General features: G+C 50.5%; 38 annotated features.

Annotated features, from left to right (window-relative positions):
* Positions 8,740 to 9,939: an enhancer, noted in NCBI's record as "BRD4-independent group 4 enhancer chr10:81091043-81092242 (GRCh37/hg19 assembly coordinates)". NCBI's record gives its function as "activates an origin of replication core promoter dependent on BRD2, P300/CBP, MED14 and CDK7 cofactors, and independent of BRD4, by STARR-seq in HCT116 cells {active_cell/tissue: HCT116}" and the evidence as "EXISTENCE:reporter gene assay evidence [ECO:0000049][PMID:35650434]".
* Positions 8,740 to 10,114: a biological region, named in NCBI's record as "BRD4-independent group 4 enhancer GRCh37_chr10:81091043-81092242". NCBI's record gives its function as "regulatory_interactions: PPIF".
* Positions 9,009 to 9,509: a transcriptional cis regulatory region, noted in NCBI's record as "chr10:81091473-81091973 region (GRCh37/hg19 assembly coordinates) targeted for CRISPR interference". NCBI's record gives its function as "positively regulates PPIF gene expression in GM12878 lymphoblastoid cells {active_cell/tissue: GM12878}" and the evidence as "EXISTENCE:mutant phenotype evidence [ECO:0000015][PMID:33828297]".
* Positions 9,052 to 9,552: a transcriptional cis regulatory region, noted in NCBI's record as "chr10:81091430-81091930 region (GRCh37/hg19 assembly coordinates) targeted for CRISPR interference". NCBI's record gives its function as "positively regulates PPIF gene expression in LPS-stimulated THP-1 monocytic cells {active_cell/tissue: THP-1(+LPS for 4hr)}" and the evidence as "EXISTENCE:mutant phenotype evidence [ECO:0000015][PMID:33828297]".
* Positions 9,113 to 9,613: an enhancer, noted in NCBI's record as "H3K4me1 hESC enhancer chr10:81091369-81091869 (GRCh37/hg19 assembly coordinates)". NCBI's record gives its function as "activates a minimal SCP1, AML or CMV promoter by ChIP-STARR-seq in primed H9 embryonic stem cells {active_cell/tissue: H9 hESC(primed)}" and the evidence as "EXISTENCE:reporter gene assay evidence [ECO:0000049][PMID:30033119]".
* Positions 9,122 to 9,622: a transcriptional cis regulatory region, noted in NCBI's record as "chr10:81091360-81091860 region (GRCh37/hg19 assembly coordinates) targeted for CRISPR interference". NCBI's record gives its function as "positively regulates PPIF gene expression in anti-CD3- and PMA-stimulated Jurkat T cells {active_cell/tissue: Jurkat(+anti-CD3 and PMA for 4hr)}" and the evidence as "EXISTENCE:mutant phenotype evidence [ECO:0000015][PMID:33828297]".
* Positions 9,161 to 9,440: an enhancer, noted in NCBI's record as "active region_3645". NCBI's record gives its function as "activates an Ori minimal core promoter by ATAC-STARR-seq in GM12878 lymphoblastoid cells {active_cell/tissue: GM12878}" and the evidence as "EXISTENCE:reporter gene assay evidence [ECO:0000049][PMID:35858748]".
* Positions 9,481 to 9,740: an enhancer, noted in NCBI's record as "active region_3644". NCBI's record gives its function as "activates an Ori minimal core promoter by ATAC-STARR-seq in GM12878 lymphoblastoid cells {active_cell/tissue: GM12878}" and the evidence as "EXISTENCE:reporter gene assay evidence [ECO:0000049][PMID:35858748]".
* Positions 9,614 to 10,114: an enhancer, noted in NCBI's record as "H3K4me1 hESC enhancer chr10:81090868-81091368 (GRCh37/hg19 assembly coordinates)". NCBI's record gives its function as "activates a minimal SCP1, AML or CMV promoter by ChIP-STARR-seq in primed H9 embryonic stem cells {active_cell/tissue: H9 hESC(primed)}" and the evidence as "EXISTENCE:reporter gene assay evidence [ECO:0000049][PMID:30033119]".
* Positions 11,900 to 12,400: a transcriptional cis regulatory region, noted in NCBI's record as "chr10:81088582-81089082 region (GRCh37/hg19 assembly coordinates) targeted for CRISPR interference". NCBI's record gives its function as "positively regulates PPIF gene expression in LPS-stimulated THP-1 monocytic cells {active_cell/tissue: THP-1(+LPS for 4hr)}" and the evidence as "EXISTENCE:mutant phenotype evidence [ECO:0000015][PMID:33828297]".
* Positions 11,900 to 12,610: a biological region, named in NCBI's record as "CRISPRi-FlowFISH-validated PPIF regulatory elements GRCh37_chr10:81088372-81088872 to GRCh37_chr10:81088582-81089082". NCBI's record gives its function as "regulatory_interactions: PPIF".
* Positions 12,076 to 12,576: a transcriptional cis regulatory region, noted in NCBI's record as "chr10:81088406-81088906 region (GRCh37/hg19 assembly coordinates) targeted for CRISPR interference". NCBI's record gives its function as "positively regulates PPIF gene expression in anti-CD3- and PMA-stimulated Jurkat T cells {active_cell/tissue: Jurkat(+anti-CD3 and PMA for 4hr)}" and the evidence as "EXISTENCE:mutant phenotype evidence [ECO:0000015][PMID:33828297]".
* Positions 12,110 to 12,610: a transcriptional cis regulatory region, noted in NCBI's record as "chr10:81088372-81088872 region (GRCh37/hg19 assembly coordinates) targeted for CRISPR interference". NCBI's record gives its function as "positively regulates PPIF gene expression in anti-CD40- and anti-IgM-stimulated BJAB lymphoma cells {active_cell/tissue: BJAB(+anti-IgM and anti-CD40 for 4hr)}" and the evidence as "EXISTENCE:mutant phenotype evidence [ECO:0000015][PMID:33828297]".
* Positions 13,822 to 13,881: an enhancer, noted in NCBI's record as "active region_3643". NCBI's record gives its function as "activates an Ori minimal core promoter by ATAC-STARR-seq in GM12878 lymphoblastoid cells {active_cell/tissue: GM12878}" and the evidence as "EXISTENCE:reporter gene assay evidence [ECO:0000049][PMID:35858748]".
* Positions 17,562 to 18,062: a transcriptional cis regulatory region, noted in NCBI's record as "chr10:81082920-81083420 region (GRCh37/hg19 assembly coordinates) targeted for CRISPR interference". NCBI's record gives its function as "positively regulates PPIF gene expression in LPS-stimulated THP-1 monocytic cells {active_cell/tissue: THP-1(+LPS for 4hr)}" and the evidence as "EXISTENCE:mutant phenotype evidence [ECO:0000015][PMID:33828297]".
* Positions 17,562 to 18,478: a biological region, named in NCBI's record as "CRISPRi-FlowFISH-validated PPIF regulatory elements GRCh37_chr10:81082504-81083416 to GRCh37_chr10:81082920-81083420". NCBI's record gives its function as "regulatory_interactions: PPIF".
* Positions 17,566 to 18,478: a transcriptional cis regulatory region, noted in NCBI's record as "chr10:81082504-81083416 region (GRCh37/hg19 assembly coordinates) targeted for CRISPR interference". NCBI's record gives its function as "positively regulates PPIF gene expression in GM12878 lymphoblastoid cells {active_cell/tissue: GM12878}" and the evidence as "EXISTENCE:mutant phenotype evidence [ECO:0000015][PMID:33828297]".
* Positions 17,585 to 18,085: a transcriptional cis regulatory region, noted in NCBI's record as "chr10:81082897-81083397 region (GRCh37/hg19 assembly coordinates) targeted for CRISPR interference". NCBI's record gives its function as "positively regulates PPIF gene expression in THP-1 monocytic cells {active_cell/tissue: THP-1}" and the evidence as "EXISTENCE:mutant phenotype evidence [ECO:0000015][PMID:33828297]".
* Positions 17,605 to 18,105: a transcriptional cis regulatory region, noted in NCBI's record as "chr10:81082877-81083377 region (GRCh37/hg19 assembly coordinates) targeted for CRISPR interference". NCBI's record gives its function as "positively regulates PPIF gene expression in anti-CD3- and PMA-stimulated Jurkat T cells {active_cell/tissue: Jurkat(+anti-CD3 and PMA for 4hr)}" and the evidence as "EXISTENCE:mutant phenotype evidence [ECO:0000015][PMID:33828297]".
* Positions 17,612 to 18,112: a transcriptional cis regulatory region, noted in NCBI's record as "chr10:81082870-81083370 region (GRCh37/hg19 assembly coordinates) targeted for CRISPR interference". NCBI's record gives its function as "positively regulates PPIF gene expression in Jurkat T cells {active_cell/tissue: Jurkat}" and the evidence as "EXISTENCE:mutant phenotype evidence [ECO:0000015][PMID:33828297]".
* Positions 19,609 to 20,109: a transcriptional cis regulatory region, noted in NCBI's record as "chr10:81080873-81081373 region (GRCh37/hg19 assembly coordinates) targeted for CRISPR interference". NCBI's record gives its function as "positively regulates PPIF gene expression in LPS-stimulated THP-1 monocytic cells {active_cell/tissue: THP-1(+LPS for 4hr)}" and the evidence as "EXISTENCE:mutant phenotype evidence [ECO:0000015][PMID:33828297]".
* Positions 19,609 to 20,150: a biological region, named in NCBI's record as "CRISPRi-FlowFISH-validated PPIF regulatory elements GRCh37_chr10:81080832-81081332 to GRCh37_chr10:81080873-81081373". NCBI's record gives its function as "regulatory_interactions: PPIF".
* Positions 19,624 to 20,124: a transcriptional cis regulatory region, noted in NCBI's record as "chr10:81080858-81081358 region (GRCh37/hg19 assembly coordinates) targeted for CRISPR interference". NCBI's record gives its function as "positively regulates PPIF gene expression in THP-1 monocytic cells {active_cell/tissue: THP-1}" and the evidence as "EXISTENCE:mutant phenotype evidence [ECO:0000015][PMID:33828297]".
* Positions 19,650 to 20,150: a transcriptional cis regulatory region, noted in NCBI's record as "chr10:81080832-81081332 region (GRCh37/hg19 assembly coordinates) targeted for CRISPR interference". NCBI's record gives its function as "positively regulates PPIF gene expression in anti-CD3- and PMA-stimulated Jurkat T cells {active_cell/tissue: Jurkat(+anti-CD3 and PMA for 4hr)}" and the evidence as "EXISTENCE:mutant phenotype evidence [ECO:0000015][PMID:33828297]".
* Positions 22,317 to 22,892: an enhancer, noted in NCBI's record as "H3K27ac-H3K4me1 hESC enhancer chr10:81078090-81078665 (GRCh37/hg19 assembly coordinates)". NCBI's record gives its function as "activates a minimal SCP1, AML or CMV promoter by ChIP-STARR-seq in naive H9 embryonic stem cells {active_cell/tissue: H9 hESC(naive)}" and the evidence as "EXISTENCE:reporter gene assay evidence [ECO:0000049][PMID:30033119]".
* Positions 22,910 to 23,410: a transcriptional cis regulatory region, noted in NCBI's record as "chr10:81077572-81078072 region (GRCh37/hg19 assembly coordinates) targeted for CRISPR interference". NCBI's record gives its function as "positively regulates PPIF gene expression in BJAB lymphoma cells {active_cell/tissue: BJAB}" and the evidence as "EXISTENCE:mutant phenotype evidence [ECO:0000015][PMID:33828297]".
* Positions 22,910 to 23,931: a biological region, named in NCBI's record as "CRISPRi-FlowFISH-validated PPIF regulatory elements GRCh37_chr10:81077051-81077551 to GRCh37_chr10:81077572-81078072". NCBI's record gives its function as "regulatory_interactions: PPIF".
* Positions 23,020 to 23,622: a transcriptional cis regulatory region, noted in NCBI's record as "chr10:81077360-81077962 region (GRCh37/hg19 assembly coordinates) targeted for CRISPR interference". NCBI's record gives its function as "positively regulates PPIF gene expression in LPS-stimulated THP-1 monocytic cells {active_cell/tissue: THP-1(+LPS for 4hr)}" and the evidence as "EXISTENCE:mutant phenotype evidence [ECO:0000015][PMID:33828297]".
* Positions 23,032 to 23,532: a transcriptional cis regulatory region, noted in NCBI's record as "chr10:81077450-81077950 region (GRCh37/hg19 assembly coordinates) targeted for CRISPR interference". NCBI's record gives its function as "positively regulates PPIF gene expression in anti-CD40- and anti-IgM-stimulated BJAB lymphoma cells {active_cell/tissue: BJAB(+anti-IgM and anti-CD40 for 4hr)}" and the evidence as "EXISTENCE:mutant phenotype evidence [ECO:0000015][PMID:33828297]".
* Positions 23,050 to 23,550: a transcriptional cis regulatory region, noted in NCBI's record as "chr10:81077432-81077932 region (GRCh37/hg19 assembly coordinates) targeted for CRISPR interference". NCBI's record gives its function as "positively regulates PPIF gene expression in anti-CD3- and PMA-stimulated Jurkat T cells {active_cell/tissue: Jurkat(+anti-CD3 and PMA for 4hr)}" and the evidence as "EXISTENCE:mutant phenotype evidence [ECO:0000015][PMID:33828297]".
* Positions 23,069 to 23,798: a transcriptional cis regulatory region, noted in NCBI's record as "chr10:81077184-81077913 region (GRCh37/hg19 assembly coordinates) targeted for CRISPR interference". NCBI's record gives its function as "positively regulates PPIF gene expression in GM12878 lymphoblastoid cells {active_cell/tissue: GM12878}" and the evidence as "EXISTENCE:mutant phenotype evidence [ECO:0000015][PMID:33828297]".
* Positions 23,109 to 23,609: a transcriptional cis regulatory region, noted in NCBI's record as "chr10:81077373-81077873 region (GRCh37/hg19 assembly coordinates) targeted for CRISPR interference". NCBI's record gives its function as "positively regulates PPIF gene expression in THP-1 monocytic cells {active_cell/tissue: THP-1}" and the evidence as "EXISTENCE:mutant phenotype evidence [ECO:0000015][PMID:33828297]".
* Positions 23,431 to 23,931: a transcriptional cis regulatory region, noted in NCBI's record as "chr10:81077051-81077551 region (GRCh37/hg19 assembly coordinates) targeted for CRISPR interference". NCBI's record gives its function as "positively regulates PPIF gene expression in BJAB lymphoma cells {active_cell/tissue: BJAB}" and the evidence as "EXISTENCE:mutant phenotype evidence [ECO:0000015][PMID:33828297]".
* Positions 23,482 to 23,541: an enhancer, noted in NCBI's record as "active region_3642". NCBI's record gives its function as "activates an Ori minimal core promoter by ATAC-STARR-seq in GM12878 lymphoblastoid cells {active_cell/tissue: GM12878}" and the evidence as "EXISTENCE:reporter gene assay evidence [ECO:0000049][PMID:35858748]".
* Positions 24,114 to 24,614: a transcriptional cis regulatory region, noted in NCBI's record as "chr10:81076368-81076868 region (GRCh37/hg19 assembly coordinates) targeted for CRISPR interference". NCBI's record gives its function as "positively regulates PPIF gene expression in BJAB lymphoma cells {active_cell/tissue: BJAB}" and the evidence as "EXISTENCE:mutant phenotype evidence [ECO:0000015][PMID:33828297]".
* Positions 24,114 to 24,646: a biological region, named in NCBI's record as "CRISPRi-FlowFISH-validated PPIF regulatory elements GRCh37_chr10:81076336-81076836 to GRCh37_chr10:81076368-81076868". NCBI's record gives its function as "regulatory_interactions: PPIF".
* Positions 24,120 to 24,620: a transcriptional cis regulatory region, noted in NCBI's record as "chr10:81076362-81076862 region (GRCh37/hg19 assembly coordinates) targeted for CRISPR interference". NCBI's record gives its function as "positively regulates PPIF gene expression in anti-CD40- and anti-IgM-stimulated BJAB lymphoma cells {active_cell/tissue: BJAB(+anti-IgM and anti-CD40 for 4hr)}" and the evidence as "EXISTENCE:mutant phenotype evidence [ECO:0000015][PMID:33828297]".
* Positions 24,146 to 24,646: a transcriptional cis regulatory region, noted in NCBI's record as "chr10:81076336-81076836 region (GRCh37/hg19 assembly coordinates) targeted for CRISPR interference". NCBI's record gives its function as "positively regulates PPIF gene expression in GM12878 lymphoblastoid cells {active_cell/tissue: GM12878}" and the evidence as "EXISTENCE:mutant phenotype evidence [ECO:0000015][PMID:33828297]".

The following is a 24,691-nucleotide window of genomic DNA, read 5'->3' as shown; positions in this document are numbered from 1 at the left end:
TTTTATAAATAGGGCCTCCAAAGTGGGCAGAAGTCATAAGCCATCCAAGGTTACCTGGGTCTTCCCTTGTGTTAAGTGAGTAGTGGAACAGCCTGTATTTGGCCTTGCTCTGCTTAATCCCAGAACTTGGCTCCTGCCTCTAATGCTATCTTTGCTACTGTTGAATTTTAGTACAAAAGATCAGCAGGTCAGGCTGAGAGAGGCCTCAATTTATGTGACAAAGATCTCAGATTGTAGATGAGCAGAAAGGCTCAAACAGTTGACCAACTAGCAGCCTATGTTCCTAGGACAGAGGGTCCGTATCACAGGCCCTGGGGCTGGGTGAGTCCAGGCATATCTCGGGATCACAGCGGAAGCTTCAGCTCCATGGGGACAGGCCCAGCCCATTCAGCAGAGAATCAAGGAGCAGGGGACCCTGCGAATCAAGGGTGTTCGGAGAAGATCTAACTAAAGCTGGTCACAGTAGAAGTGTGGTGGGGTGGACACAATGCCATCTCTAGAGAGTTGAGGGCTGCACTGGGGCAGAGGCCACAGTGGGGCTTCATAGGCCTGACCAGGATGAGCAGGAGCCAGATTTGGGTTCATTTAGACAGAAAGCTTCCTACCAGTCAGCAATATTGCAGAATGATACTTTGAAGTAAGAAGCTCCTCATGGCTGAAGCTGTGCGAGAGATACCAAGCAGGGATGCCACAGAAGATGGCTGCTTGGGCTAAGTGGTGGGGCCAGGTGACCTGTCTGGCTCCTTCTGGTTCAGAGACTCTGCGATTTAGACCCCCTAAGTTGAGGCTGCTTGGGGGAACAGAAAGTGCAGCGTGCAACCTCAGAGTTTTGTTTTTTGGGGGTTTTTTGTTGGGTTTATTTTTTTTTCTTATTTTTTATTTTTTGGAGACAGGGCCTCGCTCTGTCACCCAGACTGGAGTTCAGTGGCGCTATCTTGGCTCACTGCAAACTCCACCTCCGGGGTTCAAGTGATTCTCAGAGCTCAGCCTCCCGAGTAGCTGGATTACAGGTGTGTGCCACCACACCTGGCTAATTTTTGTATTTTTAATAGAGATGAGGTTTTGCCATGTTGGCCAGGCTGGTCTTGAACTCCTGAACTCAGGTTATCCAACTGCCTCAGCCTCCAGAGTTATTTATTGGCATATCGGTGAGTAAAATGTAACATGAAACCATAAAGGCCGGAAGAGAATACTGACATATGGTTACTGGTTTCAAAGTGGTCAAAGTTTTCTAAGCACAGAAGCAAATGCAAGGAAGTATAAGGAAAACTAGGCAACGATCTGGTGGTATACCTGGCTTAAAACTCTGCACTTTAAAGGCTCCACTGGCACAGTTGGGAAGAGTAACTTGTGTTTCTTTATTTCTCCCAGCCCTTTCCTTCCATGCTTTGGGGCAAGCAGACTTCAGAAATAAGGACAAAGATGTCAATACTTGGCTTTAAGGTTTCAAAAAAAAAAAAGTTAGGATACTTGCCAGTTGGTTTAGAAAATATACATGATCACTCAGCCAGCCTTCCCTTTCAGATGCGACCTTCATTCACCCCCAACCTGCAAGAGACCCTCATGGTTGGAGGAAGAAGGGAGTGGAGGGGAAGCAAGGGAGTAAGACCCATCAGGGGATGTGAGAAACCCCAGATGAACTCCAGGAATCCAAAAGCAGAGGCATCCTGAGCCGTGTTTCTGAGTAGAGTCGAAGAAAGGAGCAAGAATCCAGAGCCAGGCCCTTCCCTGGTGGGGAATGCAACCTGGTTGCCTGGTGTGTCCAGACAGGTAGGGCTCCCAGCAGCCATGAACAGATTTCCTGGAGGCCCAAGAAGGCACAGAGTGACCCAGGAGCCTGAAGACCTGGAGGCCATGTGGCTGGACAAGGAAATGACAATAGGGACTGCGTCAGTGGACCAGAGCCAGATGAAAATAAGGATCTTAGTAGACACCAGAGGAATCAACAAGTAACCAGATGGATCCCAAATTAATCTCAGCACTTTGCGAGGCTGAGGCAGGAGGATCGCTTGAGCCCAGAGGTTTGAGACCAGCCTGGGCAACATAGTGAGACCCTATCTCTACACAAATTAAAAATTTTTTTAAATTAGGCAGGCATGGTGGTACAGACCTGTCACTCTCCCTTACTCATGAAGTCTTTACTGGTGGCCAGTAGGCAGGCAGTGGTCATCCATATAGGGTTTCCAATAGTAGGACCCCAAGCCTGGGACAGAGGACAGGGTCAAATTCTGGAAAAAGCAAGACAGGTCTCCATCCTAGACCCTGAATGGGCAGAGTCCAGACACAGAAGGCTGAGGGGACCAGGCAAAGTCCAAGTTTGAGAGCTGGACTCTGTCCAGGCCCTGGTCACTCTCCCTTACTCATGAATTCACTCACACTTCTTCATGGAGCAGCTACTATTAAGACTCAACTATGGCTAGACATGGGTGGTTCACACCTGTAATCCCAGCACTGTGGAATGCTGAGGCGGGAGGATTACTTGAGACCAGGAATTCAAGACCAGCCTGGGCAACACAGCAAGGCCTCATCTCTACAAAAAAATGAAAAACTTAGTTGGGGGTGGTTCACGCCTCTAGTCCCAGCTACTTGGGAGGCTGAGGTGGGAGGGTCGCTTGAGCCCATGAGATGGAGGCTGCAGTGAGCTGTGTTTACACCACTGTACTACATCCTGGATGACAGAATGAGACCTTGTCTCAAGGGAACAAAAAAGGACTCAAATTAAAAATTTTTAAAAATTAGTGTGCCACAGATGCCGAGGTCTTCGGCCATGCCAATTGTCACTTGAGCTTCTAAACTGTCCCCATTAGAGTCAGGGCTCATCCTCTGAAGGGGCCGTGCTTCCAATCTTCCCTGGTGCAGTGATTTTAAAACATGCAATTTCTTTTCCACCCCTGGCATTAAGAGGTGGAGTCTTATTCCTCTTCCCTTGAATATGGGCTGGCCTCTGTGACTCACTTCTAACCAGCAGCATGTGGCAGAAGTAAGGCCATGTGTCTCCCGGCAGTAGGTCATGAAAGCAACACAGCTACTGCCCGGGTCTTGCTCCTGGGCTCTAGTTCTTGATACCCAGCTCCCACACCATGAGGAAGCCCAGGCCACATGGAGAGGACACAGCCTGTGTTCCAGCCGACTGCCCGGCCGAGGTCTCAGCTGCCAGACACATGAGTGAGGAGGCCTTGAGAGGACTCCAGACCCAACTACCATCAGACTGCAGCCACCCGAGAGCCCTGAGTGAGAACCGCCCAGCTGAGCCCAGTCAGTGCTAAGAACTGCGAGAAAGGATGATAGAGTGAGGTTGTTTCACACCACTAGGTCTGGGGTGATTTGTTACACAGCTAGAGATAACCAGAACTCCTGTTGAGGGCATGCAGTGGATTCCTGATGGCGTTTGACAGGAGCCCTGGTCAGGCACCTCCTTCAGCCTGGGCTCTGTTCATGTGGTAGGTCTACAGAACCCCCCAAACACCATAGCCCTGTGGGAAGTCATTATCCATCCCCACCCCACCTCACCTCTCCTTCTAGACACCCATGTCAGATAACGGCATGACCACCCACCCAGGCATCCCAGTACAAACTGGGTGTCATCTTGTCATATTTGGCTGGTGCATCCCTATGTAATTTTTTTTTTTTTTTTTTTTTTGAGATGAGGTCTCCTTATGTTGCTCAGGTCGGTCTTGGACTCCTGGCCTTAAGCAGTCCTCCTGCCTCAGTCTCCTGAAGTGCTGGGATTACAGGCGTGAGCCACTGTGCACAACCCCCCATCTAATTTACTCCTATCCATTCATTCCTCTAGCAAACCTTTATGGAGCACCCACTGGTGTCAAGCTTTGTGCTAAATGGACCTGCCTGGTCCCTGTCCTCAAGGAGCTTACAGTAAAGCAAAGAGAAACCTGTCAAGCTATTCATTACAAGTGCAGCCAAAAGTCTCAATAACTGTGTACATTAAGTAACCTAAGTACTGTGCTGAGCTCTCCACATTCATTCAATCATTGAGTCCCCATAGTAATTCCATGAGGAGGAGATTATTATCCAGAGATAATTAACTTTATTTTACAAGGAAACTGAGGCACCCAGAGGTTGAGTGAGCTTATGCCATTAGTGGGCGGTAGCACAGAGGTGAAGTTTCCTTCCCATCCCTCCCTTCTGCCGCTGCAGTAGCTGAAGTTCTGTCCTGGGTCCTGCAGGAAGCACGGGCTGAGACATAGCTGAGAGCCCACGTGGTTTTACAGGGGCGTCTTGCCTGTGGAAGACCAGTGGGGAAGCAGGGCTGGGCAGGAACAGCCTCAGACAGCGACACAGATCTTCCCAGTCCTGGGCCAACCCAGCAGGAGTTCTTGAGCACAGGTGGCCATAAAAGGCATCCCCACTGAGCTCAAATGGCCAGGCCTGCTGCGCTCAGTATTTACTGGGGCTGCCCAGAAGAGCATGGTCTCTTCTTGATGGCTGAGGCCACTCCTGCAGGGTCTGCACTCTTTGCAGCTGAGCAGCAAATTCTTTCCTAAAGGGAGACCCCTGTGCTGCTCCTGTGGCTGCTACCCAGACTGTCACACAGCCTTCTCTCTCATCTCTCCACCTCTGGGCACAGCCCTCTGCCCAAATTCTGTGTCTAGAGTCATGGCTCTAAAATGCACACCCCCCTGTGAGATCCACCAGCCATTCCCCATCTCCGTCAGGAGGAGGAACAAGTTCCCTCTTCCCCCCACACCTCCCCATGCTGTGCGGACTATCCAGGGATCAGACAGTCTGGGCTCACACCTGGGCTCCCCACTGATTTATGCTGCTAATATCGGTACCTCCTCCAGAGATTGCTGTGTGGTCCAATGAGATGCCACAGGGAAAACACTTAGTGTTAGGCTGCCACAGAGCAAGGCCAGAAATGACCTCCTTTAGGCCCAGACCTGCCTCTGGTCAGCTCAGGCACTGAGGCCAGGAAGGGCTGACTTCCAGCCAGGGTGCCTTTGTTACCCCTAAGTTCAGAGGAAAGAGGTAGCAGAGAGGCCACTCTGAGGTTCTCTGTCTGGTGGAGGGACAAGAAAGGTGGGTCCAGTCACCCCTGGCAGGTGTGGGTGTGGTTCCCCTGGGCTGGAGCTGGCAGGGTCACCGTAGGGAGAGGGGCTAAGCTCAGGGGAGAGAGGTGGGAGGGAGAGAGGAAGGACTCTGCGTGTCCAGTGTAGAGGCCCTGCTCACCCTCCCTGGTCCTGACCCCGGCTCCAGCCCCATCAGACTCTGCAGTTGGACTGTTGCTCAGGGCCCGGTCTTGCCCCGGCTAGGCCACTGTATAGGAGGCCTTGTGTGCTGAGGCTCCTGGTCTCGCCTGGCGCCAGCCTGACCCGCTCAGCTCAGCCCCTCCTCAAGGCTGTCCCCACAAGCCATCTCCTCCAACAAAGGGTCAGTGTCCTCGAGAGGGCAGGTGCTGCCAGGCGGGACCACAGCCAGGCCTGCTGGGGAGTTCTGGGCAGTCAGTTCTCAGAGGAGTGACCAGGGCCTGGCTATGTTGAGGACAGGGCTGGCGGGATCTTTGTTGTTTTTGTTGGTTTTGAGCCACTGCCCCTAGGAAGAGGTCAAGGTGAGAGAGGCAGGCAGAGGCTAGGGCTGGGGAGCTGCGGTACTTTAGCCCAGTTCATGGCTAGAGTCCAGATGGGGGCCTCTCAGGAGGAGTAGAGGCCTACTGACCTCCCTGCCACTATCCCCATGCCCCACCTCAAGACCCTAGGCCCCAGCTTGACCTGAGACCCGGCAAAAAAGAGCCAGAATCCACCCTATTTTCAAGCCAGGAAGGAGTCTACCCTTTAGTGTGACAGCTTATACCCACCCCCATTTTCCTCTCTGCCCACTCCGTCAGCCTGTTGAAACTCCTGCTGAGGCCCACTGCCTGCCTCTCTGCTGCCAGACTGGGCCACCTGCCAGTCCCACAGAGCCAGCCTTCAAACCCCCACAGCTGGTCAGTCAGCCCTGGGAGAAGTGGTCCCCCCACTGGGTCACACTTCTCTGAATACAGGCTGCTCACAAGCAGAATTTAAGCCATTGATGGGTCAGGGCTGGCAACCATCTCAGGCCACATCAATAAAGGCCAAGTCTCTGTAACAAGGGAGGTCGGGTATTCTATTTGCAGCTCAGGCCTGTGGAAATCAGACAATCTCCAAATATTGGAAGGAGTGTCACAGAACAAGGACAAATGGATGGAGGTTCCGGAGAGTAATGAATGAAAGCTACAGACTTCGGAACAACATGAGGGTAGATAAAAATCTGTCGAGGATTTGCGTATATTGTGCTTTTCCCATCAGATTATAAGCTCCTTGGAGGTCTTGTTCATCTCAGTAGCTCCTCCACCATCTCAGTCTCTTAATACCTGTCATCACTCAGCTCACAGTGATGGCAATAAATATTGGTAGATCAGTGGGTGGATGGATGGGTAAATGTATGAATGGTGATAGAGTATGGATGGGGAGATGAGTAGGTGGGTGGATGCATAGGTGGGCAGGTGAATTGATGGACAGATGGCAGGAGAGTAAATAACGGACTGACTCCTACACTGGAGCAAGGACAGAATGGAAGCTGGCATAACCCTGGCCAGCACAAAACAGGCTTCTCAAAGATTTCTTACAGAGGCTGCAAAAGGCATGAAACATAAGAGAAAAGGCAGATAACCTAGACTTCATTAGCATTAGCAACCTGTATTCATCAAAAGACAACATTAACGAAACAGAATTAAGAAATGAAGCTACAGGCCTGGTGCAGTGGCTCATGCTTGTAAACCTAGTGTTTTGGGAGGGCAAGGCAGGAGGATCCACTGAAACCAGGAGTTCAAGCCCAGCCTGGGAAACATAGCACAGCTCTGTCTCTACAAAAAAAAAATTTTTTTAATTGAACTGAACATGGTGGCATGTGCCTGTATACAGTCCTAGCTACTTAGGAGGCTGAAGCTGGAGGATTGCTTGTGTCCAGGAGTTCCAGGTTGCAGTGAGCTAGGATCATACCACTGCATTCCAGCCTGAGCAACAGAGAATCAAAAGAAAGAAAAGGAAGGAGGGACGGAAGGGAGGAAGGAAGGAAAGAAGGGAGGAAGTAAGGAAGGAAGGGAGAAAGGAAGGAAGGAAGGAAGGAAAAAACTACAAAGTAGGACAAGATAGTCACAATACATACATCTGACAAAAGTTCATGTTCACTACGTATAGAGAACTTACATCCATCAATAAGAAATGGTAAACAGCCCAATAGACAGTGGTCAAAAAACTTGAGCAAGCATTTCACATATACACAAAAAGGTATCCAAATGACCAATAATCATGTGAGAAGGTAGACAGACAGCATCTTTAGGGTCATCAGGACAAAGCGAATTAAAGCCCCAATGGGATACTATTATATACCCACTAAAATGGCTAAAATTAAAAAGGGTTGCTGAGGATGTGGCATAGCTGGAACTTCCATACATTGTTAGTGGGAGTGTCAGTTGGTACAATAACTTTAGAAAACTGTTTGGCAGTTATCTACTAAAGCTAAAAATATGCTTACCTATGACTCAGAAATTCCACTCCTAGGCATATATTTAAAAGAAATGAGGGCCAGTCATGGTGGCTCATCCCTGTGATCCTAGCACTTTGGGAGACTGAGAAACGAGTATCACTTGAGCTCAGGAGTGTGAGACCAGCCTGGGCAACATAATGAGACCTCATCTCTACTTTTTTTTAAATTAAAATTAAAGGCTGGGTGTGGTGGCTCACACCTGTAATCCCAGAACTCTGGGAGGCCGAGGCGGGCAGATCATGAGGTCAGGAGATTGAGACAATCCTGGCTAACACGGTGAAACCCTGTCTGTACTAAAAATACGAAAAATTAGCTGGGCGTGGTGGCAGGCACCTGTAGTCCCAGCTACTCAGGAGGCTGAGGCAGGAGAATGGCGTGAACCCAGGAGGCGGAGCTTGCAGTGAGCCTAGATTGCACCACTGCACTCCAGCCTGGGCAACAAAGAGAGACTCTGTCTCAAAAAAAACAAATTTTAAATTTAAAAAAGAGAAATGAGTATGTATGTCCACACAAATACTTCAAGTGAATGTTCATAGGTGCCTCAAACTGGAAACAACCGAAGTGCCCATGAACAGTAGGGTGAATACATGCATTGTGGTACATCCATACAGTGGAATACTACTCAGCAATAAAAAAGAACAGCTACTGATGCAGGCAGCAACATGGATGAATCTCACTCATGTGTCTGGCAGCTGAGACCTCGGCCGGGCAGTCGGCTGGAACACAGGCTGTGTCCTCTCCATGTGGCCTGGGCTTCCTCATGGTGTGGGAGCTGGGTATCAAGAACTAGAGCCCAGGAGCAAGACCCGGGCAGTAGCTGTGTTGCTTTCATGACCTACTGCCGGGAGACACATGGCCTTACTTCTGCCACATGCTGCTGGTTAGAAGTGAGTCACAGAGGCCAGCCCATATTCAAGGGAAGAGGAATAAGACTCCACCTCTTAATGCCAGGGGTGGAAAAGAAATTGCATGTTTTAAAATCACTGCACCAGGGAAGATTGGAAGCACGGCCCCTTCAGAGGATGAGCCCTGACTCTAATGGGGACAGTTTAGAAGCTCAAGTGACAATTGGCATGGCCGAAGACCTCGGCATCTGTGGCACACTAATTTTTAAAAATTTTTAATTTGAGTCCTTTTTTGTTCCCTTGAGACAAGGTCTCATTCTGTCATCCAGGATGTAGTACAGTGGTGTAAACACAGCTCACTGCAGCCTCCATCTCATGGGCTCAAGCGACCCTCCCACCTCAGCCTCCCAAGTAGCTGGGACTAGAGGCTACAAAAATCTTGAGGATATGCTATATGATTATGGAAAGTACAAGAGTAGGTGAAACTAATCTATGGTGAGATAAGTCAGAATAGGGGCTACTTTGGGGGAGGGGGTCACTGGAAGTGGGTACAAGGGAGCCAGCCTTCTGGAGTCCTGGAAGTGTTCTAAATCTTGATCTGCATGGTGTACATATGTGTATATTTACCAAACTCTACATTGATGATCTGTGTACTCATTATATTTTTGTTATACTTCAATAAAGCATTTTTAAAACACAAACACAATTCCTTTATTCCAGAAGAGTTCAGTGTGCTGGCGTGGAAGCAGAGCCCAGAAGGTGCATTATCTCTCCTCCCCTTCCAAGAGGCTTGGTTCTCAGAACACAGCATAATACATCTCACGGGAATTGAGAAGTCCTTGTCTGAGGCAAGGGGGCTGGGCTAGATGACGAGGAGAAGATGCTCATATGGGGAAGTCCCCGGGGTGGGATAGATGACAACAGGATGACACATGCCTGGGACTTTCCCACCAGCTCTTCCCAAGGCCACCGCACACTTGAGCTGCTGAGGCACTCAGAGAGCGCTGGCCAAGGGTGTCTATGCCTCCGCACCCTAGTGTGCTGTACTCTGAGGGGTCATGACTCCTGGGGGCTTCCCACCACTGCCCCTCCTCTGTCTCCAGTGTGGGCCACTGTACCAGCTGCAGAGCTGAAATCAGAGGGGAATAGGGAGGAGGTGGGAAGAGGGGGACCTGGAGCTACTTCCTGCCCTCCTGGGCCTCAGTCTTCTCCTCTGTAATACAGAAAGATTGTGCTACACTTCCAAGGCCATTCTCAATGCAGGTTCTGAAGGTTCCCTGGGCACCCCAAGCCACCCATGAGCCCAACTGGCTTGCCAAGCACATCTGGAGAGCTAGAGGGCTCTGTCAGCTGACTGCACAAAGCCCAAGTCATCTGGGCTTCTCCTCCCGCGAGTCAGGGAGCATCACAGGAGGCTGACACAGGTGAGCCTGTGAGGCCGGCTGACCAGGGCAGGGCACACCTCATGGTCAGAAGTGAGTCAGCCGGGGCCTGGCTTCACTCAGCCAGGAAGCCCACGGGATGGAGCTGGACCAGGCTGAGGACTAACCCATCACAGGTGCCAAGAGAGGAACCTGAGTCACCCTTGCCCCCTCTCTCTCCCACTGACCCCACTCCTGCCAATCAGGCATCCACCCTTTCCTCTATACCTCCTTGGCATCCCTCGGGTCCATCCTTCCTCCCCATTCTGCGGCCCCCTACCTTAGAGACTGCAGTAGGCCCCTCCCTGCCCTCCAATCCTAGCCCCAAAGTCCAGTCTCCTTCATTCTTCCAGGTGGAACATTTTCCCCCTCCTTTATTCAGGCATAATTGACATTCAATACAATGCATGGATCTTAAGAATGAAGTTTAAAGAGTTTTGATAAATGCATACTCCTGTGCGACCAATACCCAGTCATGTCAAGGCATAGAATACTTCAATTACCTTGGAAAGTTTTCTCTACCCCTGCCTCCAGTCACCCAGCCTACACCCAAAAAACCCTCTGTGCTGACTTCTACCCCCCAGAAATGAGCTTTGTGGGTTCTTAAGCTTCACATAAAATAGAATTTTTTAGTAATTATACATTAATGCTCCTTTATGTCTGGATTCTTTCACCCACTGTGCTTTTCGTCTTCATCCATCTTTTGTGACTTTTATTGTTGGATAAGTTTCCATTTTATAAACATGACTCAATTTGTTTATTCATTCTCATGTTGATGGACAACTAGACTGTTTCCAGATTTTTACTGTTATGGATAATGCTGCCCTGACCACTTGTGTACGTGTTTTTGTGTGGATATGTCTTCATTTCTCTTGGGTAAATTCCTGTAAGTTAAATCGCTGGGATATACAGTAAATATATGTTTATCTTTATAAGAAATTGACAAACTTTTCCAAAGTGGTCATACCATTATAGACGCCCAGCACTAATATATGAGAGGTCCGGTTGTTCCACGTCCACACCAGCACTTGGTATTTTTAGTCTTGTTAATTTTAACCATCCGAGGATCTTTTTAAAAACCACTTCTAAACATCCCAAATGTCCATCGGCTGGCAAACGGACAGACAAAAGGCGGTAAATCCACACAATGGAATACTAGTTGGTAATAAAAAGAAATGAGATACTGATATACAACAGGAATGAACACTGAAAATGTTACACCTGGTGAAAGAAGCTCATCACAAAAGTCCACCTTGTGTATGATTCCATTAATATAAAATGTCCAAAGTAGGCAAATTTATACAGACAGAAAATATATTGGTGCTTTTCTAGGGCTGAGGAGATGGGAGGTTGGAGGGTGATAGCCAGTGGGTGTGGGATCTCTATTTGGGGTGATATAAGTGTTCTAACATTTATCGTGGTGGTTCACAAGTCTGTGAGTATACTAAAAGCCATTGAATTAGACACTACCTGAAAAAGCTATCTGAAAAACCAAACCCACCACATCCAATTAGCAGGCTACCCCTTATAGCTCCCTACTGTCCTCAGAGTAAAGACCCAGATTCCCAAACCCAGATTCCCCCACATCGTCTTCCTCTCCTGCAGGCCCCATGGAAACCGCCACTTCCAGATGCACTCTCTGCCGTGGGCCTCTGAGTGCCTGCACGTCCTGTTCCTGCGTCCTGGACTGTCGGTTCCACCTCACCTCTGACTCACCCTTTATGGTTCAGCTCACCTGACAGCCTTCCCTTCCCTCTCTCATTCATTCATCCATTCATTCATGCAACAAGCAATTATTTAGGCACCTGCTGTATGCCAGGCTCTATTCCAGGCACTAGGGACGCAGCAGCAAACAAAACAGACTAAATCCCTCGTGGCGTGCAGGAACAGATAATAATTGAGCACTTAGTCAACCTGACGTGCCCCAGTCCCTGCCTGCCGTCCTTCTCCACATTTCCACAGTGCTTTGTAGGCACTTCCGTTTCAACACGAACCCATCTGCACTTTCACAAGTCCACAGTGGGTCTCCCGGACAAGGCTGGGACTTCATGAGGGTAAGGGCCAGGCCTACCTCTCCTGGGCATCAGAGCAAGGATAGTGCGTCCTCTGTGTGCGGCATCCCCCACAGTCCACAGAGCCCTCTCACAGCCCTGGTCTCATCTGCTCGCTCACCCGCTCTGTTCAGCAAGCGGGGATTGTGGAGAGGAGATGTGAAGGCAGGATGCCCACTGCCCAGGTGAGGCAATGAGGCCCTGAGAGTGCATGAGACCACATGGCTACAGAAGCATGGCAATTGGCTTCTCTTACTCCCTGCCCTGGGCAGGCTCCTTGTGGCCTGGCCAGCTCTGAGGGCCAAGGATTGGTGTCACCATACCAGGAAGTGATTCCAGGCCCAGCAGGAACCACATGGCCCTGTGGGCCACATCTCAGGGCGTTGCCTTAGTTTCCATCACTCGGGCTGGGCAGCATGTGGCAGGATGGTCAAGGAGCAGCAGCGTGTCTCCCGAGCCTCTTCCCTGCCCTCAGCCCAGCTCAGGTGAGTCACCAGCACATGAGCATGAAGTCATTCTCGGGGCTCCCTCTCTCAGGAGGTGTGCAGTTCACATGGGAAGTATGGGAGGGGGACCTGCAAGGCCTCCTTAATGGTATGATTAGTGCTCATGGGGTGAAGGTGGCTCAAAGCACCCCTTGAGGTGACACTTTCCTCCAAGGCCTTGACACACACCTGGCTCCTCTTTGCACTTGCTCCTTCTGGTCTACTGTGGCAGCAGCAGAGGTGGGGGCTGATCTTCAGCAGGCAGCATGGGGCTTCTGGGGCCTGCATCCTTGGGCCTTTCCAGCTTCTTTCTTTATGAAGCCCCTGAGGGCTGGTGAGATGGCCCACCTGGGGTTCCTGTTCCTGTCTCCAGCTCCTGGTAATGGCCGGAGGGGAGGGAGCCCCCATTACCCAAGTTGCTCCAGTGGCTGCTGGTGCTCTTCCTGCTTCCAGCAGCGCCAAGCCCTAGGCCCTCCAGATTGAACCCGGGACAGGAGTTCTCCTTCCAGCCCCCTTCTGCTCCTGGAGTCAAGAGGTTCGCAGATGTGTTCTTGTTTGTCCATCTGCACGCTGCTGGGGGCAGGTGCCCTGCTCAGCTCAGAGGCCATGGCAAGGGAGAAGCTGCCTCCTTTCTGGACCCAGCGGAACCTCTCCTCAGCTTATAGTTCCAGACCCACTCCTGCCTTTCCCCAGGGTGGGGTTGGGTGATAGTTTTTTGTTTGGTTTTGAGACAGGGTCTTGCTCTGTCTCCCAGGCTGGAGTGCAGTAGCACAATGATGGCTCACTGCAGCCTCAATGTCCTGGGCTCAAGCAATCCTCCCAGCGCAGCTTCCTGAGTAGCTGGGACTACAGATCTGTGCCACCATGCCCAGTTTTTTTTTTTTTTAATATTTTGTAGAGACAGGGTCTCACTATATTGCCCAGGCTGGTCTTAAACTCTTGGGCTCAAGCCATCCTCCCACCTCAACCTCCCAAAGTGCTGGGATTACAGGTATGAGCCACCATGCCCAGCCTTGGGTGATGGTTTTGAAGTCTCAGAGACTTTGGGACTAGGAGGAATTAGGCAAGGTGCCCAGCCTAGCACCAGAATGCTCTCCTCACAAACAGCAGGGATGTGTCCTCTGTCTAGTGGATGTGGAGGAGGGGTCCTCTTCACGCCCCTGGGAAGCTCCCCATAGTTCCCTCCCACAGCTTCCATCTCTTCCCACAGTCCATCTCTTTCTCCCCTTCCCTGGGACACCCCACCATTCCCTGAAGCCATGATGAAAGCCTGGGCCCTTCTGGGTCCTTGCACTATCATTGAGCCCAGGCATCCTGTTTGGATGGTCCTCGGGGTTCCCAGGAGAGGATGGAGAGGGTTTACCCCCATCCCTCCGTTCCCCAAACTTGTGCTCTTGGCAAATGTCTGCAGATCCAGCACATCCTGCACAGCAGAGATGAATTCCCTCCAAGGTGGCGATTTGGGTTCTATTGTTGCACGGCGAGCTTGCCCAGAACAGCAGCTTTAAACCATGACAATCACGGATTCTGCTCAGGGATCTAGAGCTTGACTGGACTCAGCTATGCGGTTCCTCCTTGAGGTGGCACACAGCCTTGGCCAGATGGTGGCTGGGCTGGGTTCATCTTGAAGGCGTCTTCACTCACAGGTCTGGGGCCCAGGCTCGAAAGACTCAGCTAGCAGGGCTCACTGAGCATCTCTCACTTTGCATGTGGTCACTCCATGAGATCTTTCTACGTGGCAGTTTCAGAGATTGGGACCTCCCACATGGTGGATGAAGGTGACCAGATCTATAAGAAACATTCACATTCTCCATTTCACATCAACATGACCCTTTTCCTGACAGTAACCCTGATTTTCTGCATTTACAAAGCTCATACTCCTTCCTGCTCTGAATTGCACTGCAAAGCATTGCTTCCATTAACCTGACAACAACAATGAAGAGCATCCTGTCCAAATCATGTCACCTTAATTCCTGGGTTTCTTCCTAGATGAAAGAGCTGGTGGGGAGACATCTCAGTTTGAAGACACACACACACACACAGACACCCACATACACAGACACACACACACACACACACACAGATACAGAAACACATAGACACACAGAGAGACACACATGCACAGACACACAAACACATGGACACACAGACACACACAGACACACACAGAAACACCACACAGATACAGAAACAAAGCACACAGGCAGATACACAGACACACACAGAAAACACAGACACACACATATATGCACACACACAAGGTCACACAGACACACACATAGAGACACACAGACACGCATAGAGACATACACACAGAGACACACACAGGGAGCCCTGATGACACACACAGAAACACACACAGACACACAGATACAGAAACACACAGACACACAGAGAGACACACACGCACAGACACACAAACACATGGACACACAGACACACAGAAACAGACACACACAGAGAGACAGACACACAGACACACACAGAAAACACAGACACACACACATGTATACACAGACACACACACGGACACACAGACACACACATAGAGACACACAGAGACACACAGATACACATGGAGACACAGACACACATACACAGACACACACACAGAGAAGCAGACACACACAGAGACACATGCAGAGACACAGACAAAGAAACAGATACACGCAGACATATAAATACAAACACACACACAGACACATAAAGATACACCCACAGAGACTCACAGACACACACAGAGACACATACACAGACACACAGATACAGAAACACAGACACACAGAGACACACCCACAGACCCACATACAAAAACACAGATACACACAGACACTCACAGACACACACAGACACACAGATACACACAGACACACATAGATACAGAGACACACAGACACACACATACACACACAGACACACACGGAGACACACACAGACACACATACAGAGACACATACACACACACAGAGACACACACAGGGAGCCCTGCTGACACACACAGACACACATAGAGACACAGACACACATACAGAAACATACACACAGACACACAGATACGCACATGGAGACACACACAGACACACACACACACACACACACACACACACACACACACAGACTCACATGGTCTTCACCATGTCTGGCTGCCCTTCCTGTCTTCCTGGATCAATGTACCCAGGTGACTGAGCCCTACTGTATAAGCCAGGGGTCTATACACTTTTTCTTGAAGGGCCAGATAGTTAATACTTTAGGTTTTGTGGACCAAGAGACAAAATTGAGGCTGTGATGTAGGTACTTATACAATCATTTAAAATGTAATCACTTAAAAATATAAAATCGATTCTTAGATCAGGGGCATAAGAACAGGAGCCTGGCTGGATTTGGACCCCAATTAGTTTGCTAATCCCTGGAATAAACTAAAGGGGCCCCTGAGGCACCTTCCAGCAGACCCTTTTCTCTTACCATTAGTGAAGAAAAGGTCTGTGCGGTGGGGGCAGTGTGTCTATGACCTCAGCTTGACCAACCAGATGCTCTCTGGCAGGAGGTGACACCTAGACAGGGGGGAAAAGGTGGAATTAGTCCGTTCTTTCCTATATCAGTGCCAGATAAGGCCACCAGTTCCTGCTGACAAGCCTGTCTAGGGCAGGCTCCTGTCTGTTCTGAGCGTATTTTCCATTCTTCCCTCCACCTTTCCACTCACTCACATCCTACCAACAAATACCCTTTCTCCTTCCCTTAAGGTGATCAAAATAAGCTTCTGTTGCTGGCACCCAAACCTCCCTGACTGACAATTACACTGGTAGTCTCACTCTGTCCAGCCACAGTGGAATCTTCTGAGCATGCATTCTAGGGGGTCAGGGGCCCCCAAAGTGCTCAGGATTCTGGGTCCCCATCACCATCATCCCTGGGATGGGTGATGTGGTCCCAGTCCCTGACCATACTCAGTTTGACCCTGGAGTCTCTGAGTCCCCAGGTGGACACCAGGCAACTCACGCCTCTCCTTGGAGTAACATGGCCTGGCTGGGAGAAGGGCCAATTGCCACTAGCCCTGTTCATGTCCACATCTCTCTCACAGCCCTTTCGTGAATCCATCCTGCGTCCATCGGTGCATCAAGTGCACCTTAGGCGTGGGTCAACCAAACAGTAAGGGGTTGCATTTGTCAGATGTTTCTCCAGAGGCTTAAGCAGTGCCCGGTAGAGACCCAAGTCAAATGTGGGTCTCTGTGAAAGGGGATTCACTGGCTCATGTAACTGAGGAAGACACAGGTGTGACTGGGATATGCTAGCACCAGGATGGAAAATGCTAGGGAAGGATTCTGATTGGTGCCTGCATCCGCAGACCAGTCACTGTGGACTGGCAGGCAGGGCTGTGTTGGCTCCCAGGGGATTATGTGGCAGAGACTGGCTGTGGTAGGTTGCAATTGTCTACCCTGCAATTTTCTTTCCGTTATTCACGGCAACTTGCAATGTGATGTTGTAGCTGTCCCTATCAAGAGGAGAAGTCTGTTTTCCCAGGCCTTGAATCTCGGCTCGTCTTGGGACTTGTTTTGACCAATGAAATGAGGCTGAAGTGATGCTGTACAATCCTGAGGCGACCATTTGAACAAGCCCAGGGAGCCTCACTCCAGTTAACTGCAAGCCAGCTACCAAATATGCGAGTGAGGCCATTCTAAACTAGCCTGCCTGCTGGCCTCAGACACGTGAGTGAGCCCAACTGAGATCATATGAGCCTGGCCCAGTCGACAGAACTTCTCACTCAACCCACAGTCTCAGAGGCAAAAATGAATGGTTGTTTTAGGCCATTAATAATAAATAGCTGTTTGTTCTGCCGCAAAACCTAACTGATACACTGTCTAAATGTTCATTTGAATCCATGGGAGCTGATAACAACTCTGCCTTCCAGTTCAAAATGACCAGGCCAGGGAATGGACACAGAACCCAGCTGGAACAAACAGAATCCTTCCCTAGGACTCTGTCTCCTGTCTAGGCACATAGCTGAAGTGCCTTTCCCTGGATCTTTGCCTTCTCTCTGAAGACCCTCCCTGCTACCTTTGTAGTTAGGTGTAGCTAACTGAAATTGTAGGTCAATCACAGTCATGAGATTGAACTCTAGCCAATAAATGTGGGCCTGGCCCATAAACTTACTCTCTATGGGATACTCCTTTGGTTTTCCTCATCTGCCAGCTGAATGCAGAAAATTTTAAGGAGAGCAGAGCTACCAGATGAGAAGGACCTGGGTTAGTGAATGACCACATAGACAGCGTCCAACCAGGGGCACCCACATTGGGCTGTGACATGGGCATTGTCTTGAGCCACTGATAGTTTGGTGTTTATTACAGCAGCATGGCCTGGCTCACATATCAGAGAGGGGCAGTAAGAGGCGCAGAGTGATGCTCAGAAGAAAGCGAGTACGGTTCCCTGAAGAAGGGAGGGGTGACGGGCAGGCAGGATGTTAAATGTTCACTCCAGAAGGAAGTTGTGAGCCACCTCGAGTGTCAGGCTACAAAACCAAACCACAGAGAGTCTGGGGAGCTGCCAAAGATGGGGCCTGCCGTCTCTGTGATGTTACCAGCAGCACTCTGGCTGGGCTGGTCTGTCTTGCCTCTCAGGGAAGACACTAGCTCCAGGGAAGACTACTAGGTGCCGGGTGGTGAGGGGAAGACACCGGGCCCTGGGTGACAAAGGGAAGACGCCAGGTCCTGGATAATAAGCAGTAGTAATAGGAAGAGAGGGTTCCCAAGACCACAAAGCTGAGACCCTGTTTCTGTTTGACATATATTTCCGTTGTTAACTGACATCCTTTTAGTTAAAAGCTAGAAAGCTTCTTTTGTTCTCATGACAAGGTTGACATAAGACTTAACTTTTGATATAAGCAAAGTCATAAAAAGAAAAAGGGAAATCATGCAGCCTGGAGGGGAGGGAAAAAGTCAAAGGCAAAGACTGAGCCTAGTAACAGAGATCCACTGAGAGCAGGGGAAGAGGCAGGTCAGGCCTTAGATCCAGCCGGGGCCACAATGGCACCTGCAATCTTTGTGCCTCAGGTCAGATTCTTGACTGGGGCAGGGGTAACATGATTGGTCACTGGCCAGCTAGTCCTTCGCGACACGTGTCCCTCCTGGTCTAATGGGCTGGGGTCAAGGGGGGTTTGGTCATGTGGGTCAAACATGTCTGCCCTTCTGCAGCGGCAGATGGCAGTTTCCAGGGAAGGAGGATAAGGGTGCACAGGCATTCCCAAAAGTCTAGAGTGGCATTCCAGGAGGAGGGGCAGACATTGGCAAAGATATGGGCATGAGAACAGGGTAGTGTGTTATGGTGGCCAAAGACAGCATGTTCAGGGCTGGGGATGGTGGCAGATGGGTCCGGTCTTGGGATCTGCAGACCATGGGTATTTCTGCTTTAGGCAGGGACTGGTCTCTCCAGCTAATCTAGAGGTATAGAACTTGGTGGTTAAGCTCCAGAGTCTCACGGGGCTGGGCTGCATTTCAGTCCCGCCACTTAAACCAGCATTTGGCCCTGGGTCAGAGGTCAGGGACTGGGGACCACTGAGGCAGATGCAGCTCACACCTGGACTTTATTTAGGCCATAGGTGTCTGTACACATTTTTGTTTGCTTATTTGCAACTTTTTTTAAAAACCTGCATTTCTAGATTCTCTTGGAAAATCAGAAGTCTAGCAACAGCTGGGTCTGCATTCTCACCTGGCAACAAACACCCAGAGAAGCAGATGCCCCTTGGTCACAATCAGTGCTCTCTAGTTGTCACACTCTCTGCTTCTCTCAGCTACCTGCCCATACTTGTGCCCTTGCATCATTAGCACTCAGCAGCAGCTTTTGGTTCTGTTTTGTTGAGCAGAGAAATACTTTTTTTGCAGCCAGGTGAAGTTGATTTATTCACTAAAGGTACTGCTATCCAGAAACAATCTGTAAGAGTGAGAGAAGCAGAGTAAGGAGGGGGAAGAGATGAACAATGAGAGGGGCTTGGAGAAAGGCTGCCCTTGGCTGGATCATGGAGCAAAGACTTTGGAGCATAAGCCAGATCCTTAAGGCAAGAGGGCAGGCACTTTGTACTCTAGATTAGCCATTTTTTGTGGGCCACATCCAGAGGGTGGAACTTCCCAGGTGAGACAGCTCTGGTCACCTCAGGGCAATTCTCCAGAGAAAGGGGGCTGTGGGCTGTAAGCTGTGAAGAGCCAACACTCACGGCAGCCAGGGGAGGGGTGCCTTGCCCTGCAGAAGGGATTTGGGCAGGGTGCCACAGCGTCTACTACAGCCCACCCCTTGCACTGCTCAGATCCAGTCACTTCTCACATTAAGTTTATTTTATCTGCCTATTGTTGGGAATGGGGGTCATTGATTTAGGATGTATAGGACAACCTGAAGGATAGCACCCCATATCCTTCACACTGATGAGGTATTGCCTCCCAGTTGGTACCTCAGCTGTGTCTTTAAGAGGCAACTCTATCCCCTATAGACTGGCAGATTCTAGATGTTGTGAAATGTGTAAGGACCAGTGGATTTCACAGTCGTGTGCCCACTGCCATGCAGCAATCATGGTGACTCAGCTCTCTTAGTCTGCAATGATGTCAACTGAGGGCCTATGTCAGTGAATCAGACTCTTGGTGAGCCATAGTGCCAATGGCCTGAGGCTCCATTGGAAGGAGAAGTGAATTCATACCTAGAATATGCATCCATCCTGTCTGGGCAAATCACTGCCCTTCCCATGAGGGAAGGGGTCCTACATAATCAACTTGTCACCAAGTGGCTAGTTGGTTTCATCCTGGAATGTTATTGTATCACGGGCTCAGCTTGGGTCTCTGTTGATGACAGGTTGGGCATTCAGCAGTGACAGTAGCTAGATCAGCCTTGGGGAGAGGAAGCCAAGGCTGTTAGGGTTATATATAACTTCGTCATTGTCACCATGGCACTCTGTTCATGAGCCCATATGGTGCAAGGACTGGTTGGAGGATGACGAGTGAGGACAGAGACTGGCTGACGTCCACTGGCCGAGTCATCCTGCCCACTTGGTTGTTTGGTGTTGCTTCTGCAATGGATGCTCTTTGGTGAGTATTGAAATGTGATACGTTATCTTCGTACTTTTTGCCACTCTCAGAGATCCACAGGCCTCTTTCCCAGTCCTTTTTGTCTCTGATAGTCCAGACTTGTTTTTCCCAGGCCCCTGACCAATAAAGAGCTAAGCCATTCACCACTGCCCATGAATACGAGTATATCCTTATTTCAGGTCTCTTCTCTTGCCGTGAGATGACCAGGTGCTTTGGCAAAATCTCTGCCTATTGGAGGGATTTTCTCTCACCAACATCTTTCAGGGCCACCCTTGGATGGCACTGTAGTGCAGGCTCAGTCCATTTTTGGCTTACACCCACAGGCCAAGTCAACCCATCTGTGACCCAAACTCAAGAATTTCCCTTCTCTGTCAGCTGGTCATAATAAACATTTTTTGTGAGAGGCATTGGTATGACAGTCCTCATCCCAAGTCTTGGTGTCTCCTTCCCTACCAGGGGCCTGATTTGGATATAGGAGACCTCCCTTGATGGAGAATTCAGCCTTTACTCAAGTTCTGCTGCTTTTCCAATGAGTCCTCTGCCTGATTGTCACTCCATCTGCCCTCTGGCTGCAGAAGGTAAGCGCTTTCCAATGCTTCCTGCCAAGAAGTTTCCTCTGATGCGCACACTCTAAATTGCCAGTTAAGATATTTGTAACTGTAATTTCCTTTCTTCAATGCATTGGTGACATTTAGTAATAGCCACATTTAGCAAGTCCATAGTCTTAATAGTTATTCTTTGCCCATATCTCTCAGATGCCGGATACATTGCTGTGGCTGTGTAGCTCCTTCACCTGTGTCCCATCCCAGTTCACCACAGGTGCACACTGCTACCCAATTCCTGCCACTAGTGGTGGGTCCTCATTGTCATCTGGTCAGTGGTACCTCTCCAGCATCCTATCCTCAGAGCCTGCCTCCCAGACCCATTCCCAGCACCCACTGTCTTCGATCTGGATAGGAGCAGAGCATAGGACAGGCATGCTGATTCCATGATTTATTGAGGGAGTGATCTTGGGAGAAACCTATGAGGGAGGCAGGCAGAACAAGGAAGGGGAGAGAGTGGAGTTAGCATGTGGCCTCAGGTAAAGTCTAGCCCTGACCTGACCCACAGGGAGGATTTGAGAGCACTGATCATGCCCCAGCCAAGAGGCCTTTTATTCCTTGTGGCAGTCAATTTTGGCTGTGCGCTGCCTGGCAGGGGTGCATGTGTGGGGATAGGGGGCAGGTAACCTGTCAGGCATGGAGGTTTCTGTGAGCTGAGGGAAATTCTCTGATAAAGGGGCACGTTCTGGGCTGTTGGCGGCCAACACCCGTAGCAGCGGCAGGATGGGTGGGCCAGTCGGTGAAGAAGATCCTGATGAAGCACCACAAGTACCTAGTTACCATAGGAACCTGCGGAGAAGACAAGGAAGGCACAGAGGGATGCCAGGAAAACTAAACAGATGAAAGAGGAAGTTGTCATGGATTCAAGTGTCTTCATCTCTTTTCTGTTGCTCTAACAGAATACTCGAGACTGAGTAATTTATAAAGAAAAGCAGTTTATTTAGCTCATGCTTCTGGAGGCTGGGAAGTTCAAGATTGGGTGGCTGCATCTGGTGAGGGCCTCATGATGCATTGTAGTATGGCAGAAGGCATCATGTGGCGAGGAGGGCAAGCGCGTGCCAAGTTGGCTTTTATAAGAGACCTACTCCCATGATAACCCATGAATCTGCCAACTCATTAATCCATCAATCCATTCATGAAGGCAGAGCCCTTATGACCCAAGGGCCTGCCTCTTAGTACTGTTACACCGGGGATTAAGTTTCACCATGAGTTGTGGTGGGGGGGACAAGCATTCAAACCATAGCACCAAGAGAAGAGAGCTTCAAGGAAGAAATGGCAACTGTCAAGTGCAGCTGTGAGGTCCAGTCTCAGAAAGCAGCGTGGATCAGCAACGAAGAGGCCATTGGTGAGCTTGCAGGAGAAGTGTCAGAGAACTGGTGGGGCATGAACCAGGCATATGAAGGGTGACAGAGAAAGAGAGTGGGCACTGGCAGTTTTGTGGCTGAGAAGCCTGCATGGGAAGGAGCAGAGACTGGCCATCAAGGGGTGGAGCCCAGACCAAGCTGAACCTTGCAATGCCAGAGCCTGGGCCACTAAACCCGGGGAGGCGGGAGGCAGAGGTATGGGGAGGGTTAACGGGCTGATAGAATGAGACTCCTTGGAGAAGAGAAAGGGGTGATGGTGTCAGGGGCTGGGGGAGGGGTAGCCCCAACTGGGGAAGGGACACCACATCCTCTGGGCCTGGGTGGAAAAAGATATGGCCAGGGTGGATGGAGATAGGTCTGTGGGTAGCAGCAGGGACAGTGGGGAGCTGGGTGAGGGTAGGGTAGCCTGCTTAGAGCGAGGTGGGCGTGGTTAGCAGGAGGCTGGAGCAGAGGAGAAGGGAAATGGGGGGCCATTAAACATTGAGTGCCCTTAGCATTCAGGGAGGCTGGAGACCCCAGTGTATCCTGACATCGACCTGTGGGGCTGAATGAATTTCCCCAATAGCATCCCATGGCCTTACATGAAGACAGTCAGTGGATTCAGGGTGGAGACTTTTTGCAGTGGGCTAGAGGAAGAAGAGACGTAAGATGATCCACAGTGTGTGGCCCCACATGCTGGGAGGCTGAACTCTGAACTGTCCCAAGCCAGGGCCCCCACTGGGCTTTTTAGGTGGATGTTTCTGGTCCAGGGGTTAGGCTCACAGAAGGAAGTCACCCGTCTGGGGAGGAGTTAGCTGAGATGGGGCCGGCCAGTCTCCATACAGCCTTGTGGGGCAGCCACAGGCCTGTATCCCAGGTTCAGAGTCTCCAGCTGAAATGCCAGGAAGGTTTGCTTATTATCATGAAGTTGGGGGAGCACACTGCCCTTCCTCCCTCCCTGCTCCCCTGCCCACTTCCTGCCTTTAAGTCAATGGCATTCAAACTTTTTGTTTTCAACCACAACCCACAAATAAGAATTAACATCATGACTCAGCAGACACACACACACACACACACACACACACACACACACACACACACGTTTCTTGATAGAATGCTACCCTTTACTTTGTAGGGCACACTCCTGATATTTTCTACTGTATTCTCATTTGTTTTATTAAAGTGCTGGTCCAGCCCCACCACACTGCTCTAAGGCACAGGGAGGGGGGCATGTCTCCTACGGGAAGTTCTCCCTCAAGCTAACTAATCACCCTCCTCTCGGAGGGGTGTCTGTTCAGAGAGAGTCAGCCTGTCCTGGTGATGCTGGCAGAAGGCAGTGCCTGCAGCTGAGCAGTGGCCGGTGGGTGTTCCATTATTTAAGGTAAATCTTTTCTCCTCCTCACCTTCCACCTCCCTCCAAAAGGAGAAACTCCAGCCACCTCGGAGAGGCCCCAGGAGCAGGGGGCTTCTAGGCACCCAGCCCCCTACAGGCAGCACCCTGCAGCCTCCCCCACACCGCCGGCTCCTGCACACACATGCCCCTCACTCTCCTGACACCCGGATACATCTGAGTGGAGATCTCTGGGGTGCCGGCCCGGCCCTTCTTCCCTCTGTGGACAGTCCCTGTGGAGGAAAGGCCATGACAGCCACATTTGCTTTCCCCCTAAGGTGAGGCTGCGTGGAGGGAGGGCAGGGACTGGCTGCGGGGCTGTGTCAGATGCATGTTCCTAAAACTTCAATCGGAGACACATCAAGTGTTGTCAGTTTGTGTTGGTGCCGAGGCTGGAAGGATGGTTAGAACCATGGCCTGGGCAGGGGCTATCGTGAGACAGTACCCCATGTAAAGCATGCTCACGGAGGAGGGAAAACCCAAGCTTCCCTAGGAGGGGAGGGGCAGGTGTACCGAGAGGTGGAGGCCAGGGATGCTGAGATGCCAGCAGGGAGCCATGGGTGCAGTGAATGCTCACTCTCCATTGAAGCCACACTCCTGTGTGCTCTGAACAGCACCCTCTGTGGCTTAATATGAATAGCTTCCTGCTACTTAAACCCAGCATAATCCACAAGGGACCATCAAAGATGGGACACTGTTGCACACTCTGAGTCACATGCCACAGGGGCCCCTAGCACCCTGCAGCCACCTGGCCCTATTCAGCCACCCCAACTCCCCCAACCATCCGGCCACACACTGCACTTGCCCCACCAGGGACTGGTTCCAGGGACCCCCATGGACAGGGGTTCTTCCAATTCAACACCCAAACCACCTGCCTTTCTTTTTTGTGTGTGCAGAGGGTAACAGGGCGGGGGGTGTGGTTTAAAACAAAAGCAAAAACACCCAAACCACTCCTTAACATCCACAAAATAGC

The sequence above is a fragment of the Homo sapiens genome, chromosome 10 (genome assembly GCF_000001405.40).
Source record: "Homo sapiens chromosome 10, GRCh38.p14 Primary Assembly".
Lineage (NCBI taxonomy): Eukaryota > Metazoa > Chordata > Mammalia > Primates > Hominidae > Homo > Homo sapiens.
This window is presented reverse-complemented; position numbering and strand designations above follow the sequence as displayed.